We start from the raw sequence: 26,955 nt of genomic DNA, 5'->3' as shown, positions 1-26,955 counted from the left end.
CCAGGTTCTTATACTGGTTGTCTAATCATATATGAAACAAACCAGTAAATATCAGTGAGGCTTTCTACTTGGTAGAAAATATTTTTATTCATGTAGGTGTTTTCTTAGCACCACTCCTGTTAACACTGTTGGATTTTTTTTCTGAATGGAGCAATCATGTGGGTATGTGGACCACTAATAATAATTATGAAACAGATCAATATGTAGAAGACTTCATAAAGCCCTACTGAATCCATGATACCATAGTACTTCTCATCCTAGTCTTTGGAGGAAGTCTGGGCAAGTGTCATTCTCATTTTATACATGAGAGAGGGGAAGCTCAGACAAGACAAGTAGCTTGGACTTGTCTAAGGTCACTGAGCTGATGATTATGGAGACCAAATCTATGTTTTATATGCATTTCCCACCTCACCATGATGAAATGTAGCAGTAAGCACTTTCAAAGATGGCTATGAAGAATCACAACAAAACTACAAAATTAAAATGTACTAAATAAGTAATAGAATTAACAATACATAAGTAACACAACTTGATAAAAATGATCTGAAAACATGGACGAATGTTATCAGATCCCAAAAGTCTCTATTAGCAATAAAAAATTTAATTTGCTCTGGTATCTTGGAAGTGAACAGGTGAGTGCTGGACAATCTAAACAAAGACAAGAACACAGGCATCTTCCACTCCATCTTCCTCAATAAAGTCTTAGGTAGCCACAAGTCATTATTCTTGACATGAAGAGGCAAAATAATACTGTTAGTGAATAAATAAAATAACAAGAGTAAAATGCAAAGAAAATCAAAACTATGAGTGATAAGTTAATGTTTCTTTAGGTATCGATAAATACTGAAGAATCAGATTAGACCCCAAGGCATCTTGGTTCTAAGACTTATTTTAGCACAGTGAGACCATTAGCACCATCTCTCAGAGCTTACAGGGGGAAAAAAAATCAATTGATCAGTTCTCTTTTCAACCTAATGATTTTCATAATGACTTCCAGCAGACCTTAAATGGGACTAATCTATTTACACTAATAAAAGCTGAATCTATTCTCTACCAGAGTGGAAGGGCAACAACTGGCTGTGATGCAAATGCCACTCAAATGCAACATTCTTCATATGAACATAATGTGATATGATGAAAACAATACGCTACTGCTGCTGGCCACACTTCCTCGGGAAACCAGAAGAAGTTACTGGCAGTGCCTTAGCTTGGCTGGGGAGATAATAGGTTTGGGCAGCAGTATAATTATCTCTAGCAAATTATTATACTGTAAGTAGCTGTGTCCACCAACTTTCAGTAAGAGCTCCAGCAATCACTCAGCCTACCAAAAACTTTCACTTTGAACCTTGTTGACATCTAGAATTTAGACCATCCTGGGCCTACTGCCTTAACAGAATACCTATTTATTTATTTATTTATTTTTAGAGACAGAGTCTCACTCTATCATTCAGGCTGCAGTGCAGTGGCATGATCATTGCTCACTGCAACCTGAAACTCCTGAGCTTAAGTGATCCAACCCTCCTGCCTCAGCCTCCCGAGTAGCTGGGACTACAGGCATACATCATGAAACCTGGCTTTTTTTCTTTCTTTCTTTTTTTTTTTTTAGAGACAGTTGCTTGCTATGTTGCCTAGGCTGGTCTCGAATTCCTGGCCTCAAGCAATACCCCCACCTTGGCCTCCCAAAGTATTGAGATTACAGGTGTGTACCACCCAGACTAGCCAATGGCAATACTTCCACACTGCTTCCTGCCAGAGAGTCGTCAAGGAAAACATAGCAAACTGAATCGATTGCATTCTAGTTATGAGTTGTAGTGGACTGAATAGTGTCTCCCTCCAAAATTCTACACGGAACTTCAGAATGTGACTTAACTTGGAAATCTTTTTAGATGTAATTAAGGTAAGGATTGAGATGAGATCGTCCTGGATTAAGACAAACCCTAAATCCAATGAAAGTATCCTTACAAGAGCCAGAAAAGAAAACATAGGAGACACACGGGAGAACGCCACGTTACGATAGAGACAGAGATTGCAGTTACGCTGCCAGAGCCAAAAATCCACGGGAGCCACCAGAAGCTGAAAGAGTCAAGGAAGGATCGTCCTCCAGAGCTTTGGAGGGAATGTGGCTCCTGGCCTCCAAAACTATGCAAGAGTACATTTGTGTTGTTTTAAGGCACTAAGTTTACGGTAATTTATCATGGCAGCCCTAGGAAACTAATCCCCTAGCTTTAATGGACAAAAATACTGCACGCTGCTTCTGCTGCTAATAAATGGCCAGCTGACAAACTCCAGGAAAAGGAGAAAGCAGGTGAAACAATATCATCTCTTGCTGTCACACCAGGGTAGTAGAAGGCAGGAAAGGGAAGTTACCAGCTGGGTGCTAGAGTAGAAAGAACAGAAGGTGCGTAAACAGCAAGCTGGTGATGAGAAGAAGACGCAGGTTGAAAATGTGGGCAGAGAGGGCAGGGGTTGGGGCGCAGTCAGTAGAGTTCAGGAAGGAAGGCAGGCGTTAAGGGCCAGGCAGGTAACACATCAAAGCAGTCAACGCAGAGACCTGCTCACAGGTGACCCGGGGTAGGAAGGAGAGGGCATGTTTTACACCCATTACTCCATTTAATCACTGGAGTGTTGCTGTGACACAGATTCTATGATTCCCATTTTATAGGGGAAGAAATAGGTACAGAGAAGTTAAGCAATTTGGTGACAGCCACAAAGCTATCAAATGAAATGGCTGAGATTTAAATCCATTTGTGTCTGATTCCAAGGCTTATGTACAAGGCTTGGTTCAAAGTATCCAACACAGCAGTCTTTTACAAACCTGGCTGCATTAAATAAAGCCTCAACTATATATATAATATATATATAATTTATATATATATTTATATATATATATATAAAATATATATATATATATATATAATATATATATATATATATATATATATATAATATATATATATATATATGTATGTATTTTTGAGACAGTCTTGCTTTACTGCCCAGGCTAGAGTGCAGTGGCGCTATCTTGGCTCACTACAACCTCCAGCTCCCGGGTTCAAGCCATTCTCCTGCCTCAGTCTCTCAAGTAGCTGAGACTACAGGTACTTACCACCACACCTGGCTAATTTTTGTATTTTTAGTTATAGACAGGGTTTCACCATGTTGGCCAGGCTGCTCTTGAACTGCTGACCTCAAGTGATCCATCCGCCTCGGCCTCCCAAAGTGATGGGATTACAGGTGTGAGCCACCATGCCCAGCCTTCAACAATAATTTTTGATGTACTCTCTCTGCCAGCAATAACTGATACGATGGAGTAGAAAGATCAAGGACAGAGGTACAAATTCTGGCTGCATGTTGGGATCATCTGGGCATCATACCAAACACTGATGCCCAAGCACGCCCCACCCCTGAGCAACCAATGGGACCTGGGAAGTGGTATTTTTAGGAAGTTCCTGGGTGATTCTAATGGGTAGCGTTGGTGAGAATCACTGCTCTAAGTCTGCAGATATAAGTGGAAAGTGCAGCTGGCAGAGGAAGAGATGACAGTGTGGTGTTTGCAGGCGGATTCTAGCCATTTCACTTCTCAAAAGTTACTCTGACAAATACTGGGGCAGAGAGGAAAATGAAAATATGCTCTAAACATTTCAAGATTGCCCAGAATTTGTACTTGCACAGCTTATGTTTGTTCCTCCAGTGATGTGGGAGTTTAAGCCTGAGCATTAGAAAAGCTGCCTCTGTCTCACATTGCCCTGCATGAGCCAGAAAATGTAGGCTCATCCTGTACTTGGAAACAACTTTGCAAAATCAATGTGCTAGACTAGGAAGCAGCTTCTGCTGCTGCAGCAAATATTGTTTTTACAATTCCTGGGCCTGCATGAAACAAAGCTGAATACTTTTTAAAAAATGACTACTGTTGTTCACCACAAAGCTAAAACCCCACAACATTAGATCCCGTTTCCTAACTTCACGCTGGGTATCATGACGACGTTATGTTAAGAGTATGCTTCTTAAACTTTAGCGAGTACCAAAATCACTTAGAGGGCTGGTGTGAACAGAGATTTCCAGAGTGGAGTGAGGTTCAGGAATCTGCATTTCTCATAAGCTCCCAGGCCACACTGATGCTCCCGGTCCATGGGCCACACTTGCTTTTGCACTGGTATAAGGCAATGCTGCTCAAACTCTAATGTATATACAAATCATCTGGAGATTCTATACAAATGCAGACTCATCAGAGGTTGATGCTCTTGGCCACAGAACACTCTCTAAGTAGCAAGGGTATGGCATATTCCATTGGTGATAGAGGAAGAAAGTTTGCTTGTACCATTTGTTCACATAGATAGTTGCCTATTCAGCAATTTGATGGGTAAGGGGTCAAAAACCTTAAGCATTAGTCCCCTCGCTCTTTTTTTCAGATGGAGACACCAAAGAAGAAATAAATTAAATGGCATCTCCAAATCAATGGTAAACCAGGGAAATGAACTGAATCAGTTCCGTCTGTCTCCTCATGTTTAAGGAATGAATAATTTGTACTCTGGGAGATATATAAAGCATGAGATGGTATCCACTTCAATGGACTGTTTCCAGAACTCCGTGTTCAGAATCTGACTCAGGAGAAATGAATAATTTCTCTTCAGGTATTTCCTTAGTTTGAATCAACATGCTTTCCTTGCAACAGGTGGAGGCCATTCTGCAGAAAAAGTGATGGCAACAGAGGGATCTCAAATGGTAAGACCATGAGATGTATCCAATCCTGCTGTCATCCTGGGAGCATTAGAGGCATAAGAACTGTGACATTTTAATTTTAGCACCATTAACTATCTTAAACCCAAGACCATGAGTTTTATACCATGCGCAGAAAACACAGCCATGTCCTGGTACTAAGGAAGTCATCATTCATTCATTCATTTTCATTCACTCATTCATTCATCCATTTATTAAATATTGAGTGTTTCCTCTATGGCAGACACTATTCTAGGAGCTGGGGATTTAGGAGAGACCCAACTGTAACACATATCTGCACTTTTCTATCTATCTATTGAAAAATGCTTTAGGCACTGGGGTAAAAGTGATGGTTCTGTGCTTTACCTCTCTGTGAGGCAGTACCGAAAAGTAAGGGATTTAGACAGTTCTTCTCTAACTATGGAGAGCCCAGTTTTTATCCCCAATCAGTTGCACATTGATACTTTTATAAAACATAAAAATGAATTGCTAGAAAAAAGAAATGTTAAAACCCACAAAGATATACAAAACATGAGGCCCAATTTTTTATTACTGGATTCAACAGACAATGTCAAAATGCTAAAAAAAATTGTCTAAATGCTCACTCCTAAATTCTCTACGTCTCATAGCAGACTGGTGACAAACAGCTTGCAGACAAGCATAATCCTCAGAATCCACTTTGGGTAGAACTGGCTGGGAGCACTGACTCCAGGGTTGCATCGCCTGGGTTTGCATTACAGTTCTACTACTTGGCAGCTATGTGACTGTGGGCAAGTTATTTAATTTCATTGTTTCTCAGTTTCTTCCTCATAAAAAGAATACCACTCAGAGTTGCCATACATTTTAAACACTTGCAATCAATACAGACAAAGCACCCAGAATAGTGTCTGACTCACAGTAAATGCTACTAAAGTGTTAGCTGCTATCATTACTACTATCTACTATTATAACTGCTATCATTACTGTTTTTACTTCTTCTATTATTACCACTAGTGTTACTCTGCTGTATCAGCTTGGGCTAACACTTGCACAGTGTTTTAGGTATAAAATGCTGATTGTCATCTCTTCCTTCCTACTGACTTCCTTCCTTCCCTCCTATGGAACCTGTGCCTAGAAAGTGAAATCACTGAGAACACATGTTGGCACCCATGGAAATGCCTCTAATAATCCAAGTGTCTGTACTGCCCAGATGCCACTTCAGAGGGACAAGGACAAAGTGTCCTGGGGTTCTCTTCACAGGGCTCCTAGGCACCGTGTCTGTCCGTTATCAAACAACTGGAAGCATCACTGAGACAGCTGTCCTCCCACCCTCCCTGGAGAATCCGGCTGGGCTGATGCTGTGTGACACTGGGTGTTGCCACAGGGAAAGGCATGTCCTCTCTTCTACTCTGTGACCAAACAACAGTTTAGCAAAGGGAAGAATTTTAAAGGACATTTTTATACTTCCTGTAATTGAATATTTAACCCACATGCATCTTTCACGCACACACATATTTCTCCAAGCTCCTTCTTAACATTTGTTTTGGATTCTCAGCTAAAATTTTTGAGAATTATTTCTTATTCTTTTTTCAGATTAGCCACCTACAATTAGCTGGGAATAAAATATTAAGGAAACATAGAAAAAATTCAAGAATAAAATTCACCCTGTGCTTGTAGAGGAAGACAAAAAAAGAATGAAGCTTGAGTATGGGGAATTATTAGAAAACAATTTACAATCACTATAATGCAGGAAAATACCAAAGATAGGAAAAAAAAATAACCATCTCCTTGTTTGCTTTTTAAACTGCATAACTCTCTCTGAGAATATTAAACAAACTTAGTGATATGGTTTAAATAATTTGCATTTTCATAAAATAAATTTTTTTAATGAAAAAAAGGAGAGCAACATAATCACCAAAAAAAAAAAAAAAAAAAAAAATGAAGCAGGTGTGTTAACTCTAGAAAAAAAAATTTGCAGGTTAATAGCTTGAATGGTCTTAGCCTCAAGACTTATTCACTTATATATAATTATATGTTGACAAGGTCAAAGAGAGAACAGGTAAAGCTGGAGTTCTTACCTAGCCTCACGGTGACTTAAAGGACAAGAGGCACAGTAACATGTACAAAATGGCGGTGATGAGGTTGGGAGTGATCTGACAGGCACATGGACAGACTGCCCAGATATGTCATTTTGTTGGTAGCATATGGCCTTGACATGGCCCAGATCAATGAGTTATGATTTTAATGCATCTTTGCTACTGAAGCTGCAAATTATCACATTTAATAAGCCAGTATTATTGGTTCACAGACTCACTCTGTAATGTACTGATGCCTTTTTTTTCCTTTTAAATTCAGTGCACTAAACATGTTCAAGTTGCTCTGTATGGCATATAGCGTGACACTTCAGAGAAATAAATACTGAAAGGCTTTCTGATGGAAATGAGGCTAATGATATGGTCAGACAACACATAAAAGTAAACATATTTTTGTTACTCTCTATTTCTCATCTCCTTATTCTGACTCTGTGGGTACTTATGACTCTCGAAACTTATTCACTGTATCCATCCATCCATCCATCCATCCATCCATGCAACATGCATTCATCCAGTAAGTTATTCATTGAGCACCTTCCTGCTGCCTGACATTATAATATGTGTTTGGAACTTACCTTCTAGTGGGAAAGGATAGAAAATATACAAGTTAGCAAAATTAATTAATAATTAGGGTTGTGATAAGTGTTAGGAAGAAAAAACCAAAGTGTTAAAATCCTGATTAACTGGGGAGATCTATCTGGGATCTTGACAAAAAAAAAAAAAGTATTCCATTTAGATAATTCAAATAAAGAAATATGAATGAAGAAATAACTTACAGAGGTATGGGCAGGGTTGAAAGCAGGAACAAGGGATACTGAGGCATCCAGAGGTTGTAACAGCAGAAAGCTGAAATCAAGAGGCAAGGAGAAGAAATGACATTGCCAGAGTCCAGTGAGAGCTGGAGCTATGGAGGATGTGTCACCTGGCAGGATCTCCTGTTATGGAGGGAGGCACTCACAGCCAGGGCCATGATCCAAAGTGAAGAGGAAGGGGAGAAGAAATCACCCACCCTCTTTCTCCTCCCACTTTCCAATCTTCTACTTGTGCTGCCTATCGGCAGAACCTGATCAGAAGCTACCTGGCAAGGGGGCCTCCATGACACAGTCCACAGACACAGTCCATAGGGTTTGGCCTCAGTATTGACAATGGATGGGGCTGGTGGTAAGGAAAAATGGGAGAATGGAGAATAACCAGGAAAGGGGACCTAATTAGGTAGGACAGTCAGGAAAAGCCTTCCAGTGGACATGACATTTTAAGTGACACCCAGAGAGGAGAAGACCCCAGCCATGCAAAGAGCCGGAAGAGATATCCAGCAGAAGGAAGAGCAAGCACGTTCCTTTGGCATTCCCCCTTCTCTGCACCCAACACTCAGTACAGATCCCTCACCAGGCACATGGCTAACAGAGACCCAGACCATCCAAATGAACATCTTCCTATTCTATTTTATCAATATCATAAAAGAGCTTGCTCATAAAAAAGAATGCTCATAACTAGGACGCTTCTCTAAGAAAGGTCCAGCACTTCTGTAAATTCTAACATACAAAGAAAAATCAAGGGAAACATATGTAAAGGCAGGTAAGGGCAGGCAACTGGAACAAGTAAAACTCCCTTCCATATATACAACTTCTCTTTGAAAAGCTCAAGCCTTCCACATGTTGAATAGTCTCATATTGTACAATTTAGGTAAAAGTGTGAGACTGTGCCCATCCTACTCTTAAATGAAGAAACACAATAAGGATTCAATTCCAACGTAATAATAGTTAATGTATACCTATAATTTAAACTCCTACTAATTTTGTTTTAGTTTTATATATACCTCCAAGTCACCAGCTAAAATGTATATAAAATATATGCCTCAAGCCTATTAATCAAAAAATCTACTGACAGATTATTTTATTTTTTCTGATGCTAAGAAACCATTTTTTTATATAAAGTAAAATTTTCAGTACTAACAAGATCATCATGTGAATTCAGTGATTTGACTTTTAAAGGTCAGTTTACTGGTTCAAATTCCCTGTGAGGTAGCCAAGTCATTGAAAGGTAAGTCTGCCCCTAAAAGGTATAGAGGGTTTCCTGCTGGTAATTGAAGTTGGGCATCATAGCTTCCTTCCTGTTAATCCTTCATACTCAGGGATGCATTCACCAATGGAAAAATAGTTCCTTTCAAGGACCAATTCCAGGCATAATAATGAGGAACTGCCTGCATGTTAATGAGATTCACCATCTCTCATATCCAAAGCTAACCGTTTTTTTTTTTAATTTTCCTTAAAGATCTTAAGGAACTTCCATTATCCAACTACATTAAATCTAAATTTCCCTAGTGCCTATTTATTTTCTTTTGTTTTGTCCCTGATGAATATGGAAACAGATGGTAATTCTTCTTTTTTAAATTTATGACACTTGCCAAGTCAATGAAAATTGCTGATAAAAATAGTAAGTTCAAAGTGTATTATTACCTGTAGGAGAGGCCGCTGCACTCCCAGCACCTTCATGGTGTCTGCGTTGGCCAGAATCTTCAAAGGGTCAGATGTTTTAGTGACTCCTTCAATCTCCTTGTTGATCTCAGCCAAGACTTGATTGAGAAAGATGTTTTTGATGTACACGGTGAGAAACTCTCGAAGAGGACACTGTTTGGCTGGGCCAAGACCCAGAGCATGCTCAATCTCCTGAATAAATCTGGAGGACAAACAGTAAGAAGGTTATTAAATTTATGAGGAAAATGTTATATAAATACGACATGAGGACATGAGTATATCTAGTGTTGGCTATTTCTGTGAAGAGGGCAGGTCATCAATAATACTCATCTCTATATAATTTTTAATCTTGTAAAAATCTAAATTACTCCACTAATTGAATAGAAATAGGATGAAACAGAAAACATGACTTCTAAAAATGGGGGGAAAAGGAGAAGACAAAAATTATTTTTAATTCCAGAAGGAGATAAGACTACAAGAAACAATGGGAAAATGTGAAAAACAAAAAACACAAATTATTGTGAAATTAAAAAGCACATCCCCGAAGAGTACATATTTCCCACCGAAACCTTTACATCAGGGGTCCCCCTACCCCCACACCGGGCGATGAACCAGTACGGGTCTGTGGCCTGTTAGGAACCAGACCGCACAGCAGGTGGTGAGCAGCCAGCTGGGCGAGCATTACCACCTGAGCTCCGCCTCCTGTCAGATCAGCAATCACATTAGATTGTCATAGAAGCATGAACCCTACCGTGAGCTGTGCATGTGAGGGATCTAGGTTGCATGTTCCTTATGAGAGTCTAATATCTGACCTGTGGTGGAAATTTCATTCCGAAACCATCTTTCCCCCAACCCTTGTCCGTGGAAACATTGTCTTCCATGAAGCCAGTGCTTGTGCCAAAAAAGGTTGGGGATTGCTGCTTTACATGTATATATATAAATGTCAAAAAGAGAGAAACAGAGAGAGAATGAAGGATACTCTAAAATTCATGATGATATGTGAGTTCAGAGGTTAAGAAAGGGAATGGGATGGGAGTTGGAGGACAAAGGAGAACTTCAACCTTACTTGCAATGATCTACTTCCTCTATTAAAAACCCTTAAAGAATACATAACAGAATGTTAATGATTGTCAAGTCTCAGAGATGAGTATAGATTTATTAAAATTCTTATTTTAATAACAAAATAAATTTATTATTAAATTCTTTTTAATTTTCTATACAGGCAGCCCTGATTTGTGTGGTTTAATATGAACAAATTGAAGTTACTACTGTTTTTTAGTTAAATAACATCAGTCCATCAATTACATAGTTTAAATACCTCAATACCACAGTGTAGTCACCACAGTACATTAAACTTAAGTAACTAAAGTATAAACTTTGTTGGTAGCTCCTCTGAAATCCCTGTGTAAATAACTGATGTGTGTTCATCATGATTAGTGACCAATCACATCCCTTCTTCCAATGTCTATTAGCAACTGGTCACTGTGCATTTGTTATTCACTTCATGGACAGGGAGCAAAGCAAGCAGCTGTGGTGCCTCCCTGTCCCCCACTGATAAATCCATGTGGCATTTTATAAAAATGGATCAATGAAAGAGGGAATTGGCCAACAAAGATAAAAGTACCGCAAAGTGATAACACTGGAAGTGAAATTTGAACTGAATGTAAACGGAGTTACAGGAGAAAGAGCTGACCCTGGGAATGTTGACACTGCTGCCATTGGAGAGGCATAGCCAGACTGAAGGCCAGCACAAATGAGGAAGGTGGTTGTGACCAAAGGGATGCAGAGGATGAAGAGAGATGAGAAGCCAGAGGAAGTGATGTTGGCAACAAATTTCACACTTAAAAAAACTCTTGGAGATATTTCACAACACAGAAAAAATAAAGGATAAAATGCTGGCAACCGAGCCAAACTCAGAAGTATGATAGTTCACCCAGAAAAGATGCTTGCTGTATATTGCAAAGCATATAAGACAGCGGCAAGCACTGCTATACTACTCTTGATAAGATTTTAACAAAAAATAAAACACTTTGTCAATGTTTCTAATGTTACAGTGTACTAAATACATATCAGTTTTCTTATTTTTCATTTCTGTATATATTTATAAATGCCAGGAATAGAGTTTTTTGTTTTTGTCTTTTTTTTTTTTTTTTTGAAGCAGTCTTACTCCGTCACCCAGGATGGAGTACAGTGGTACGATCTCGGCTCACCTCCACCTCCTGGGTTCAAGTGATTCTCCTGCCTCAGCCTCCCTAGTATCTGGGATTACAGGTGTGCACCACCACGCCCAGCTAATTTTTTTCTATTTTTAGTAGGGATGGAGTTTTGCCATGTTGGCCAGGCTGGTCTTGAACTGCTGGCCTCATGTGATCTGCCCGCTTCGGCCTCCCAAAAGTTTTTAACGTTTTGATAAAAAATTTTAAAGTCATGAAATAATTGTGACTATCCTCATTGATTAAGATTGCTTTGCATGGTTTCAGCTTGCATGGTCATTTTTACAGTTCCACAATGCTATGGAAAGGAAGAGCTGTATTGTACTTCAATTTCTTCTCAAAAAAGAGGAGAAGAATATCAATGAAAACATAAAATGAATAACCAACTGGGAAGATATATTTACAATTTATATCACAGATGATGGCTAGAACTCAACAAGAAAAAAAACCAAATGACTTAGTAAAAAAATTTATCAAAACACATGAAAAGACTATTTGTAGTCAATACAATGACCATTAAACATTAGAAGAAATTTTTCATTCATAAGAAAAATGCAAAGTAAACTATACTAAGATACCAATTTTTACAACAATGCAATTGGCCAAGTTCCAAAAGTTTGAAAACACACTCTGTTGCTATAAGTGTGAAGAAAGAGGCATTCTCATATATTACTGACATGAGTGAAAAATAGTACAACCCTTATGGAAGGCAGGTTGGCACTATTATTCAAAAAGCCAGATGAATTTCTTTATCGCCCAGAAATCTCACTCCTGGGAAATTCTTCTGAGAGCTATATCTAAATATGGATGTGATCATCTACATACAGAGTATATAGATCATTACAGCATTGTTTTTAGGCAAAAGACTGGGAATAACCTAAAAGTTCATCAATTAGGGAATAAATAAACTGTGGGATATTTACATTTTGGAATACTGTACAGCTCCCTCTACCCCCAAATGTGGAAACTTTTGATGTACTAATGTGAAAAGACCTCCAGGATATATTGTTACAAGGAAAAAAAGCAAGCTCAGATCAATCTACGGTTAGCAGTATTTACTACACTAACCTCTATATAACAATTATATACCCATTTGTTTATTTTAGCATAAAGACATCCTGGGAAGTCTCAAAAAAACGACTAAGTACCCATAGGAGGCAGGGGTGGGGGTCAGGTCTGGGAGAGGAGTAGAAATTAGACTTTTGAATTATAACTTTTAATAATCATTTGATTGTTAAAAACTGTTAATGTATTAGCTACTCAAATAACATTAAATTAGAAAATTTTAAAATTGCCTACACATATCAAAGACTATATTTAATAAATTGCTGTATAATAGTTCCTTAAGTTTAGCTGTTTAACCTAGTAAAGAGTTTTCTTTACTTACTAAACCAATACATTGCAGTTAACCTTACATATTACCAGTTAAACGCTCTATTAACCCCTGGGGTGTATGTGTGGTGGGGGGATGAAGATGGTGTATATATAGGATTATCACAATGAAAAAAGTAGCTTTCCTTCAAAGAAAGATGAAATTGAGAAGGCACAAGAAAGAGCATTGAGGCTTCTTAACTGATGTTATCAATGTGAAAGAAAAATAAAATAGGACCAAAACCAAAATATAATGGATCTTTAAAGAGAGGGTGAGTGAAAGAAGGCAGGGAAAAATGAAATAAAAGTAGATGGTTAAGCATGGCCACAATTTGAAGATCTCCAAATACCACATCCTGCTGCGATGACCCCTTCTGTTCTCATCTAACTCCCAAAAAGATACTCTACCCAGGTGCATCCTAGTCTACTTGGTTGCCTTCCAAAAGAAAACCACTGTTATTAATTTGCTAATGAGTAAATACACCGAAACTCTTTTTATTATTTTTTAATATTATGAGAATTAATCATCAGAATCTCTATTTTCTTCAAAGGGACTTTGGAAAAGAGTTTTCTGAGTATACTTCTGACATTTTCAAAATATTTAACATTTATCAGAACAAAACTTTTACTAGTCAATCTGCTCATAAACAGATGGGCAGAAGACTCTAAATTAGCCTCATTTTCTTTCTTTCTAGTCCCATATTTGCCTTTCGTGTACCTAAAATATGAACTGTGCTGAGCAGCACAGACAAAGGGGCCCCCATCGCTTTTGGCTGAGTGATTTCTTTCAAATTCAAATCATTTTTTCCTTAAAGCATACACATCCATCTCACATGACACATACAGGTTGACGTTGTCAGCCCTAACTGGAGGGGACTCATTCAACATGTTTCCAAATCTGCTTTCAGAGCGGCAAGGGACCTCCCTGTACAGAAGCACAAAACATGTGGGTGAGAATGAAAGAGAAATATTAAGGCTGTTTCGCCAGTCCCTTAGTGTTTCTTTACCTCAGTGAAAAATGGATAGAACGGGGGCTAAGGGATGGGGGAGGGGAGGAGATGTTGGTCAAAGGTTACAAAATTTCCGGGAGGGGTAAATTCAAGAGATCAAGAGATCTAATACACGGCATGGTGACTATAGTTAGTAACAATGTGTGGATACTAGAAATCACTAAGAGAGCAGAGTTTATGTGTTCTCATCACAAAAAATAAATATGTGAAGTAATACATGTTACTTAGCTCAATGTAGCCATCCCACAACGTATATGTATTTCAAAACATGTATATCATAAATGAATATAATTTCTATTTTTCAATTAAAAATAAATAAAAATGAAAAATGAAAAAAAGTAGTTACATTAAATGGGCAACCTACCCTTCATGGGCAGGAAGGACACAGAAAATGAGCCTTCCTAGCCATCCAGGAGATGAACCTCACTCAGTGTCACTCTGCAGAGGGGAGGGACTTAGAGAAGGAGAGTGGTCAAGAGAGGAACACTTACAGTAGGGCTTCCAGAGTTTGGACCTGGAATGCACAGTCTCGAGCAGGTTACTTAGCCTCTCTTGGCTTTACTTGTGTCTTCTGTAAAATGGCTACAATAACACTACCTACCTCACAAGATTGTTTTGATGGTTTAATGAGGAAATGAAAATTAAGCACTCAAAACAGAGACCGGCACACAGTAACTGCTTAGTAAATGGTGCTGCTGCGGTTTTTAGAATTACTATCTTACATAAACTCTGATGAGGCTGGAGATTAGAGGAAAGTGTGAAATATTGTATGATTTTTTTTTTCACTTTTCACTTTGCTCCCTTATTTTCATATCTAATCATCCCTAGTTGACAATTCTGAACATTAGGTTAATACTTGGAATATTTCACTAATAAATGGATGTAGGAATGAGCAAAAAACCCCACGTGGCCAGGCGCAAAGTGTAAATTGCTAACTGCTGAATCCTTCATGCCTAGTAGTGCTACTCTATGACTGGCACACAGTAGACTTGTAGGAAATATTTATTGAATAAAATATTGGATAAAATAATTAAAAGGTCCTTTGATCATAATCCATAGTTCCTGAAACTAGGACATAATCTATCTGGCATGTAATGCCCTTCTCCTAAGAGTTTGGACTACAGATTTCAATACAAAATTTTTAAAAAATCATCCCATATCTCCACCATTCGAATGTAAACCAGTAATTCTTATTGACAGAGGATCCTCTCATTCTTATCCACATCCCACACTGTTTTATATTTTGTGCAATATGGCTGTTCACACTACTTTGTATTCTGTTCTTTGACAGAATATTACAGATTCATTCTACCAAGCTAATGAACAGTTTTATTAACCAAACAGCTACTAGGGAACATCTTCATTTTGCTTCTGTTGAATTATTTCCACAAATTAAAATATTGCAAGCAGCTCTTCAACATTTTTGGTGAGTCTTTATTTTATTTTCCCCAATTTACCACAGTGTACTGGATGGATCCTTTCACCTAGTAAGCATTTAAAAATGATCTGTTGAATGGGAGACAGGAGTGAGAGTCAAGGGTATAGAAGAGAATAATCAAAAAGCCCAATTTTCCCAACAATGCTCCTCATTAGCTCTATGGAAGTATGAAAACATTGAATTTTTAACAGTGAAAAGAATCTCATTAGAAAAGAAAATACTTCACTTCAAAGTTAAGTTAGAACACAGATGGAGCCCTGTCAAAAGAGTATTATTTAATCTCGTGAAGTACTTTTATACCAGGGGTTTCCTATCCCCTGTAAATGATGAGCAGGGAAACACAACATACAGGTATATCTGTGTATATGGAAAAAGAGACTATGAGAGTAAAGAAAAGGGTATACATAATGCTGTATGGGGAGCGTCTCATCACAGGATTTTGAGGACCCTTATTCAGATCAGCCTCCTAAACTTAAGGTTGTAAAGTAGGAGAAACAAAAAAACAAAAAATGCGAGTACGCAACTGACTCTCATTGCTTTCAAATGTTTAAAGCATGGATCTGGCCGGGCGCGGTAGCTCATACCTGTAATCCCAGCACTTTGAGAGGCCAAGGCAGGCAGATCACGAGGTCAGGAGATCGAGACCATCCTGGCTAACATGGTAAAACCCTGTCTCCACTAAAAACACAAAAAATTAGCCCCAGGGCATGGTGGCGGGTGCCTGTAGACCCAGCTACTCGGGAAACAAGCAGGAGAATTGCTTGAACCTGGGAGGCGGAGGTTGCAGTGAGCCAAGATTGTGCCACTGCACTCCAGCCTGGGCAACACAGCAAGACTCCATCTAAAAAATAAAATAAAATAAAATAAAATAAAATAAAATAAAATAAAATAAAATAAAGCAAAGCATGGATCTTATCGTCTAAATTCTAACATTTATAAATATTTAATTGAAGCTTTCCTTTTCAGATTCTCAACTAAAGGCCCTCTAAATGTATGTACATATGCAATACCTGTGTTGTTGAATTTACTTTCTTGCAGCAAGTTATGTGTCCTTTGGAATGCACACATGAGGACACACTATGAACATTTCACCCAATATTTTCAAAATTTTAATCTTGATTTGATTGCTATCAAGGGAAATTATAAACTAATTAAAATTTCACTCAAGCATCCCTCACTTAGCCCAGCCTTATCACAAATTCTGTTTCACTGTACAGCTCCATTTCTTCCATTTCATCTCAGCCAAGAATTGTGGCTGCTACCAGCTGGAAATATCCTTTAACAGAGAGGTCCTATATCGTATTGTAGAAGCTGCAATGACAGCAGTGATGTTTTATTTATTTGAATAAAAATAATTGCTTATTAAATAAGTATTCCTTACATTCATATCCTAAAAAGCTTTTAAAATTCGACGGCCAGCATCACTAATAATGGGACAAAATGGACATCATGTGCCTTCTGATATGATATAAAGAAGAACACAGTATTGTTTTCTGTTACTCTTGCTAAAAATGCGCAACTTGAGTCTAATCATGAGAGCACATCATTCATTTTTCATGAAACCAAAATACAAAATCAAAGGTACAAATTTCAGAATATTCAAATTCAGGATTCTGGTTTTAGAGCACAAGTAATTCATGCATGACTCTTTCACAAACAGTGAATCACTGTTTATTGCTAATTATGTCTTTTAATGTGTACATTTATATATGCTCTGTATCATACAACATAAACTTTTCACTTTGCTATCTCCTGACTTTGCTGTATATCATTACATATAATTTGGTAGTTTAGGATGAATAACGTACACATTAATATAGATATTTGGGAGGTCTTGGAATTTTCCTGCTGATTCCATGTATCACAACCAATAGAAACGCGTGATTTATCCTTTATGACTTCTGCATTTTGCAGGATCTCTCAACATATCATTTCCTCTTACATGTTTTCTAATCTAGTCTTGACTCTGCAGAGATGTACCATCCTTACTGAGAAGCTCTGAATCTCTCCTATTAATAAAGACTAAAAAAATGAATCTGAACTCTTTCATCTCCATTTTAGTCCAAGATTTCTATGTGAAAAGTTGCATGACATTTACAGGTCTGCGGAAGCTTTGCATGATCAAAAGTAAGTCCACACGGTCCCATCCTCATTGTGCCAATCCTCTACTGTCACATTTAATATTGTTATATGACACAGATTGTGTATAAAAGCATGCATTAAAATTTTAATTGGCAATAAACGGTGACATACTGTTTGTGACACCATCATGAATGAATTACGTGTGCTACAAAAGCCACAGATCTGCATCAGAATTCTGTACCTTTGATTTTGAGTTTTGGTTTTATGTAAAGAATGCAAACAACAGTAAAAACAAGCCTGTAGCATGAATGATACATGAGTTACAAAGAGAAAATAAAATGCACATTCCCCCTAAATCCAGCAAACTGAAATAATCTTTGGACCCAGAATGAGAATGAAACACCCTAAATCCAGCAAACTGAAATAATCTTTGGACCCAGAATGAGAATGAAACACTAACTGTCAAATGCAGAACTTTTCAGGAGAGATATGGGCCCATGTACAAAGATGGCAAACAGCACTAATAACAGAGTCCTGCATTCTGATGACACTTTCTGCACACCACTCTAAGGGAAATCATGGACTATTTATGAGAACACAGTATATTCAAAATCCCTACCATGGTAGATTTATATGTAAAAAAAAAAATCAACCTACAACTCATAATAAAATCCACCCCCAGACATGGGCCCATCCTTGTACAAAGAACTATGACCCGTTAGCTATACTCAGATGACAATTGGGCTTTGGGAATCAAACCCAAGTGAGGCCATGCAAAAGGCTGGAAACAACTCAGTCTGCAGAAAGAAGGCGCCCCCAGCAAACAGGGCTCCTTTAAGATATATTTCTTACTTTCTCAACTGCTCTCAGGTATGACTTTTAAGACACAGAGCAAACTGGAAAACAACTTAGGCAAAGAAGGAAAGAAGCCTCAGAGGAATTGATTTGAGATATATTCAACTCACTAGTATTATCTGAGTCGAAAAAGATCATTTAGAAATGATTTACAAGGGACTCATTCAGAAACAGCAGCAACAGGCATATTTAAGACCATAAATCAGTGGAACATGAAAACCGAAAAAAAATCCATAAAGGTTAATGCACTTTGGAGCACGTTTGCCTCTTAATTCATGGGAGTAAGCCATTGGCACATCAGGAAGAGGTTCTCTCCCAACAAGCTGTAATTGTTCATGCTGAGTGTAACTACTATCTGTGCCTTTTGTATATAAAGATTTTCTGTGTAAAAGTACAAAATAAGCTCATCACTGCAGAGCCCAATCATGTCCTCAGCCCATACCCGTAGGAGACAATTTGCTGAACTAATCAAATAAAAAGGGATTTGGGTGCTCTTATTTGTAATGTGTGCAATTCATGTCTGGAAGTAGAGGAGAAAAGAGGTAAAAATCATTAAATAAAGGGAGAAAGAATATTATCTACAAAATTTGGACGCTGCAGGCTTATAAACAAATTTAACTTAAAAAAATCTTACCATGAGTATATTGCAAGTGATTTGTGACTACAGTTAAGTGTTCCCTCTAGACTGAAAAGCACTTTAGGTAAAATGAAGTAAGCCTCTCTAAAAACGACAGCTGTTAAATTTTTTAAGCATATAATTTGGAAATTGAAGTGACTTAAACTCTAACCCTTCATATCAAACAATCTTTTTAAACCAAAGATTGCATAAATAAATAAGGGATGCTGACATAAAACTCAGAGAACAAAATAATAATCCTGCTTTTCCAAGAGGTCTGGAATTCTGGTTTTATCCTTTCAATTTATCTTACGGTAAATACCCTCTTCTTTCTTTCTTTATTTTTTTTTCAGAAGATAAAGCTGTCAGAAAAATTTCCAAGAAAAACTGCAATTTATTCAAAATATCCATCATACACCTGGAAACTTATGTGTCACGTATTAAATATACTCTGTTTTAGGTGCCCCATATCAGTTTGACCTTCAGAGACTCTAATGCAAGACACAGGAGAATCTGGCAAATTTTCTACCTGTTGCTATTCCAGTAGGAGCTGTATTAATAATTGCTTAAACCCATGGAGCGCTTACCACGTCCTGATCAAAGAGCTTTATATGGATTCTTTTTTATGTGACTTTCACAGACACTCTATGAGGACTGTGCTTTTACTATCTCCATTTTACATGTGATAAAACTGGGCAGCTGAAAAAATGGCAGTAACATTAACAGCTGACAGTTCTTATTGTTCTTATTGTAGTCATCTTTCAGTATCCCTGGGGGACTGGTTCCAAGACCATCTGGGTCTGTGCACACTCCAGTCCGGCAGTCAGCCCTGCAGAACCTGCGTATATGAAAAGTCGGCCCACCATATCTTCCGATTTCACATGCTGTGAATGCTGTATTTTCGATCTGCATTTGGTTGTGGATGCAGAGCCCTGCGATATGAGGGCCGACCGTATTTATTTAAGAAAATCAGCATAGAAGTGGACCTGCACAGTTCAAACCAGTGTTTTCTGAGGGCCAACTGTATAGGCCAGCATTGTTTTAAGTAATCACCATGCTTTGCTTCACATATTCCTTATAACACTATGAAGTTAGGTACTTTTATAATTGCCATTTGGAAGCAGACACGAAGGCACAGAAAGGCAAAGTTACTTTCCCAAGGTCATACAGCTAGCAAGGGATGGGGCCAAAATTTGACCTTGGACAGTTTGTCTCCAGAGACCATGCCAGACTTCATCACGCTATCCAACATACTTTAATATCAAAGCCTCTCAAAGGTTCACCCGTAAGGTTAGAACTCCAGAGGTGGGCAGGCAAGGGGATGACAATCAATAGACTTAAGTCCATGCTGAAAACCCTAAAGTGTGTGCTGAGGTACTGGGACATTGTGTGGATGGAGAGGACCATAATATTACTAAATATAAGCATTTGAATATATCAAAGACTGAATTATTTCTCTAAAAATACAACAAATATTATCTCCAGCCCTGACTTCTTGCTCCTGACCTGCATTTCCAATCACTTGATAGATACTTTCAAATGATGTCCTCCTGATAACTCAAACTATGTCCAACATGGAGCTCTTCGCTGCTGCACTCCCATTATCATTTCAATTCTCTCCTCCTGTGTTCTCTATTTTTGTGTCATCATCATTCCAGTTACCTAAGCTCAAGCTTAAAAATCATCTTTCACTTTTTCTTCAGCCTTGCTACTCATGCAAGAAGCTTCTAGATGTATAGACATTCTCTTTATATTAAATCTTAAGTTCATACATTTATCTACTTGTTTACCCCTTCACTATTTATTACTCCTTATGCTGAAAGGTAGGCACTATGTTAGTGTTCCAGGTCTAAGGCACCCCCAGTGAAAGAATTATGCCCCAGGAGCTATCACCCACTTAGCACATGCTATGAATAGTGTTCAAGTAGTTTAATGCTTGAACTCAGACAGACATTCCTGTGCCTCCATTTGTAACACTCACATACTAATTCAGGTTCTTACAAAATGAGATGACGCAGGTGAATAGACAGAATTAAAATAGGGCAAAACTTTTTCCCAGGCCTCCCTAAAATAATCTCCTAACTGATTTTTCCTTCTTCCATCCCTTCTTCCTTCAACTTATAAAATATATGACTATTTGGTTAATCTCATTAAAGCAAAGAATCTAGAACTCCTTGCAGTTTCATAAAACATGCCTTGCTCTCTCTTGCCTCCAGCATAGTCTCTGTACAAGCTGGTTCGTTTATTTAGAACACTGTCCCCCTATCTCCTTCCTGACTGTCACTTGTCCTGTGGCCACTAGCTTAGATGTCACTTCCTCCAGAGGCCCTTCTCCCTTACGTGTATGGTGAATGCCCTTTTACTATGTCACCACACCACCCTGAGTCCACAGAATTCTGCTATGGAGGTATCTGTCTTCCCTACTAGTTTTAAAATATCTTGAAAAGAGGGAACATGTCTTTTTCATGTAGACATTGTTTGGTATCCAGTAGGTAAGAAACTCAAGAAATAAGTCTAACATTATTTCTACTTCTACTCATTAGCAAACTTTGAGTTCCATGTACTCTCTGTATTTTTTTAAGTTCATGCCTTTTCTTATAATGATCATGTGGTCTATTTCTACTGTTCCCTTGCATTTTCTAAATTGTGGCAAATCAGCTAAAGAGGAGTTTTGAAAATTTATCATTTTCACAATAGCCTTTCTTCAAGGACCACTTCAAAACTAAGTCACTCACAAAGTTTTCCCAGATGCCTTTAAAACCGCTTTATGTATTTGAACTATTTAACTTCATAGCATTAGTCTTTTTTTCTACCTGTTTTTCTCTTTTAGAATTAAGTTCCTTCTGAGCAGCAACTGCGTTTTGTACATCTTTGATTTATACCTGAAACACCTAACACTACATCAAGTACAGTGGACACAGTTAATAAATGTTTTAATAAATAATATTAAGTTATTTTTACAGCTTGTTTAGGCTGGTCTTTAAAGGCTAGTCCTTCTTAAAGCGGATACAATATACAGATTATTTTAAGGCTATGTTTTAGGAAAGAAATACGGCTGGCTAAGCAAGATAAGGAAGAAAGATGGTGAAAGGAAAAAAAGAAAGTTGTGAAGTTAAGGATGCATGTACTATGTTAAACATATCAATGAGGAATTTTTAAGGCAAACTATCAGCAAATCAAAACCTAGTCCTTTTCTCAAACGTGAAATTTAGTGAAGCTGGCCTAAGCTGAACATTACTCAGGTATGAATAACAGAAGTCAAAGACTGGAAGTATTTCATATGTCAAAAATGTGACTGGCTTATGTACCTGCTGAAATAAAATTATAGTATATATTGTCTGGAAGAAACAAACTGGCTCCATGGTTATTCCACTCTTTTTCAACAGGATGGATTTCATTACATTTAATATATGAATACTTTGGAAAACTCAGTTTGAATGATCTCTAATGGGCCTATCTGGCAACCACCCTTATTGCTGAACTTAGTTTATGATTATTTCTTATCACACTCTTAAGTTTACTATCACTTGATTAACTGGCAAAGTGTTCTGAATGCACAGTGCCCTAAGAAAAAAGTAGCCACTAATGATATGAGTCACAGACAGGCAAAGACAGTTATGATATTAGTCTTGTCCCTTAAACTTTTCTATTTTTGTTTTCCTGTATTCACACACTTGATCATTAATTCAGGTAAGCCAGGATAATCTCATATCACTGTTGGTATCTTTCTCTGTTCACACATCTACACTTTGCCTGAACAGTATCTACAATTATCTTGCAACGGTATTCACAAAGTTATTTTTCTACAGTGGTTCAAAGTTCTCAAAGTTACCTCCTCTGGAGCCCTTTCCTACTTGGAAGACAGTATTGCCTTTTAGAGTCTCACTTTGGGTCATCTATTGATATATCACATTATCAGGATTTCGACATAACAAAATGGGTTGGAGTAACATCAAATTCACATCAAAAGTGAACTAACAGTAAACCAAACTAAATATTTTAAGCCATCTGAGCTACCATTCCATTCCTACAGTTCTTTGTTCCTTCAAGAGGCATCTGTGTTAAATTCTTTATAGTTAATTTCATAAATAGGTCCACTTATTACATAGGAATTAAAGACTTTTAGTATTTCCACCTTTCTATTTTATTTATGTTTTCATATCCCCTGTAAGGCTAAATCAGAGTTAAAAATTCTGCTCACAAATCTGAGATATAGAAAAGTATAGATTATTACATTTGTACACAGGATAATAAAGAAAAGGTGTCTTCCTGTCTAACTGATTACTTGCAAGTGAATATCTATCAGTTGTATAGACATTAAAATGATACAATATGCATCATTTTCTAAGAAAAACTAGACTCTGTAGAAGAATTTCGATTACAATATTATCAGTTCCTGCAGAACTGATATTCTTTTGGATTATGTTGATGACAAATTCCTAAAACTCACAGAAGATAAAACAGCTGTCCAAGCAAGAGTCAATGTCTGCAATCAGGTGACTCTGCCCAGTATGTTATACTCAGCTGAATATGCAAGCAAGAGACAGAAAAAGCCTGTAGAAATGGTTTGTACATTTAAAAAAATAAAACAACAAAACTCCAGTATAAGCCCTGGTTTCATCTGAGAAATGTTTCCTGTTTTCAAAGTAATGGAAAAATTCAAGAAATACATGCTTTATCATAACACAAATACAAAATACATCTTAATGGAAAAAATTATTTCAGAAAACTACTCTGGCTCAGATAAAACTTGCGAAAAAATTTCCAGCCATCATGTTGGCAGCCAGTTCTAACACAGTTTATTTTAAATATGATAGTATTCATAAAATTGCTCATTGTCATAAGGCTGACAATAAAAAATTATGGCAACAGGCATGATAACCACAAGCACAAAAGTTAGTTTTGCATTTACCATTTATGTATTCAGTTCATTACTTCAATGCATTCACACTTATTAATGTCTTTAGAAGTGTTTTTTTTTCTGTCATTTCCCACATGCATATCTTGTTTTGGAAGCAATATAATAAGTTCTTCTTGGACAGGAGGTATTCACTGTATTTTCTCTCTCTCTCCTTTTTTTTTTTTTTTTTTTGTGGAGACAGAGTTTCGCTCGTCGCCCAGGCTGGAGTGCAGTGGCATGATCTTGGCTCACTGCAACTCTCCGCCTCCCGGGTCCAAGCAATACTCCTGCCTCAGCCTCCCAAGTAGCTGGGATTACAGGCTTCCACCACCACATCTGGCTAATTTTTTGTATTTTTAGTAGCCATGTTGGGCAGGCTGCTCTTGAACTCCTGAACTTGGGTGATCCGCCTGCCTCAGCCTCCCAAAGTGCTGAAATTACAGGTGTGAGCCACTGCGCCCGGCCTATTAAAAAATATGGAGCAGCATCCATTTCACTGTTTGGTTTTGACAAATTCTCAGCAATAGTTATTCATGTAAGATTCCAGCAACAACCTGAAACATGACAGTAAGCCTACCAAATATCTAAGCAATTAATTCAATTAACATTTACTGACCATATGTAAGCTGTGCCCTAGAAGCTAGGAATGCCAAGTCTTATAAGTCAAGTGGATGCATGATTATTGTTCATATCTATAGTGCATGTTAGCACTTACAAAAGACTTTCACATACTTGAACCTCATTCTGCTTTGGGGGCTGTTTTGACAGTGATAATTATTTCCATTTTACATGTGAGGAAATTACAGTTCAGAAAAGGTAAGTAATTTGCTGAAGGTCACACTATTCTCAAGCTTTCAGACTGTATCTTGAAGCCAGATCTGGTTCCTAATTAGTCCACCATGCTTTCTTCTATACCACATCCTAAAAATGGCAAAGCCCACAATGCCTGTAAATCCAGAGGAATGTAAAATACATGGTCCACAGGTTCAAAGATTCTAGAAAATTTCCCAAGGAGCAGAAATATGGAAAGGCTTATTTTTTATAACTAAGTTTTATATATTTTGGTAGTTTTAGAACTTTCTGATGCAATACTATATCCTGAACAGTTTTAAAACACTAGCAAAGTCCAACCTTGTTGGAAAAGTGGGTGGGCAAAATGCACATATAAAAAGGAGCAACATGACAGGAGCTTGTATTATTGGTGTGTTAATTTATACAGGAAAGGATCCCAGAATGGGTAGGACATGATCAATGCCATACACAGGTTCTGGCAACTGTGAAAGGTCTGAGATTTTTCTAAGACTTAACCACGATAGTAGGCTGAGCATCTTTTGCCTCTGAGTTCTTCAGTGACAGAAGTCGAAGAATAATTAGACTATGTGGGTTTCTCTGTAACCTGGTTGGCCATTTCCCCTAACAGCACAATTACCCTGCTAATGAGATTAAATTTGGTTTAACTAGAGGATTATTTCACTGCAGAGCCCCCCGCCAACTCAGGTTCCCACAGGATCCATCCCTGTGTTGATGCACCCATCTAACATTCATTTGCCTTAATGAAGGCCAGACACGAGAATTAGGCCTGCACAGTAGCGAAAAACACAAGGGCTTTCGTTTATATTGAAGAAGAGCCTCATTTAGTCAATCTGAATCTTCCTAATACCCAGTGAAATATTTATTAATGAGTATCAGCACAGCAAGCCAGAAAGTCTTATTTGCATTCATTTAAACCATAAATAATTGAAGGTAGATTTCATTCCTTCTGTCATGGTATCAGGAAAATCCTCAATAGCATGCTGAATAAAAAGAGACCATTAGTGAGAGAAAATGAATTAAAAGTTGAGGGTTGTAGATGTTTTGCCTACCCTTAGACTACATGGCTCGTTTCCCGATAATATATAATTCATTATCCTGTAATAGGCACCTCAGTGGAGGTGACAGAATGAGATACTAACAATTTTTTTCTTATTTCTTTAGGCCACGATTATAGAGGACGTATCTGTGCTATTCATAAGGTCGGACCAAAGATGGTTCTGAGCAGACATGGGTATCCCTTTATTCATTTACTCATCAAAAGAAGGGCTTGATCAACTTCAACCACAAGCTTGAGCCACTGTATTCCCTAAGATAATTTATGTAAGTTAAAACATTGGAATGGAACAAAAGCATGAGATTATCTTAAAAATTTTGTATCTCATGCTCAGATTTGAGAATTTATGTATGCTTGACACTTTATAGTATCGTTATTGGAGAACAGAAGATGCCTGCCTACCCACACTGAAGTTATGACTAGACGTCAACACTGTCTGTTACTTGGGTCATCTAAACTTTGAAAGCAATGACCAGGGGATCTTTGTGAAATGTTTCCCTAAATGAATTCTTTTTGACTATTGTTCCTAAGATTGCTTCAACTTTTGAAACAAAAGAAAGAAAATCCTATCATCAGAGGACTGAAAATTCAGTGCAGAAATATTACTTAATAATGTGATATTACTTAATACTACTTTATGAGGACAAAAAAAGGAATGTTATTAAAACAAAACTGGAAAACTTTTATTCCTAAAGTTGTGAATTTTTCATTCAGAGCATCATAAATGAACCAAAATGATTATTTTAGGTCTTAAGAAATAGAACGACTCCCTTTATTTTTGGTCAACTAATTCTCTAGAAGAAGACGATATCATAAAAACACAGAAGGAATCAGAATAGTTAAAAACTATTAGAATGATTGAAGGATATATTTATTTTCAAAAGTACAAGTAATATATAAATCTACCTACTTTAAATGTGACTTTAAGAGAATCCAAAGGAATGACAACTGGATAATAACATTTCAAATTTGTTTTCAGAATTTTTTAGTCACTTTCACATTCATTACCTAACTTAATGCCACCAGCATTTTAGAGTGCTAAGCTGAGACTCTCATCTGGGGAAGTGATATGTTTGACTGTAAGTATAAATGTAGAGAGGGAGGAAAGAAAATATGATGGGTGGGTGGGTGGGTGGATGGATGGATGGATGGATGGATGGATGAAAGGATGGATGAAAAAGTGCCTTCTATAAAGCTACAGCTACCTGACTCACTAAGTTCTTGGTATTTAACCTGCTCCTTTGAGTGTGCATTATTTCCTTTAAATCACATTAATGAGATTAAGTAAGGTGAAAAGTAATCTCCAAACAAGTCCCATCTCTAGAAATGATCTAACTCTAG

General features: G+C 37.5%; 1 protein-coding gene and 1 long non-coding RNA gene across 11 annotated transcripts in view; one reads left to right on the top strand and one right to left on the bottom strand.

The window, feature by feature from the left end:
* Positions 1-26,955, bottom strand: part of EXOC4 (exocyst complex component 4) — an 847,874-nt gene that overhangs the window by 274,163 nt on the left and 546,756 nt on the right. For all 10 annotated transcript variants that reach the window (XR_007060126.1, XR_007060125.1, XR_007060123.1 and 7 more), the window contains one exon: positions 9,245-9,464. Coding sequence is in view for 2 of the 10 variants with exons in the window: in NM_021807.4 (NP_068579.3) it covers positions 9,245-9,464 (220 nt within the window). In the remaining 8 variants the exon portion in view is untranslated. The remainder of the gene's footprint in view (positions 1-9,244; positions 9,465-26,955) is intronic.
* LOC101928861 (uncharacterized) lies at positions 1,901-26,296 on the top strand. Its single transcript, NR_120513.1, has 4 exons — positions 1,901-2,305; positions 3,138-3,331; positions 4,410-4,631; positions 25,722-26,296. It is a non-coding gene; the product is annotated as an uncharacterized LOC101928861 (long non-coding RNA).

Source organism: Homo sapiens, chromosome 7, assembly GCF_000001405.40.
Source record: "Homo sapiens chromosome 7, GRCh38.p14 Primary Assembly".
Lineage (NCBI taxonomy): Eukaryota > Metazoa > Chordata > Mammalia > Primates > Hominidae > Homo > Homo sapiens.
The sequence above is the reverse complement of the archived record's forward strand: the minus strand, read 5'-3'. Positions and strand labels throughout refer to the sequence as shown.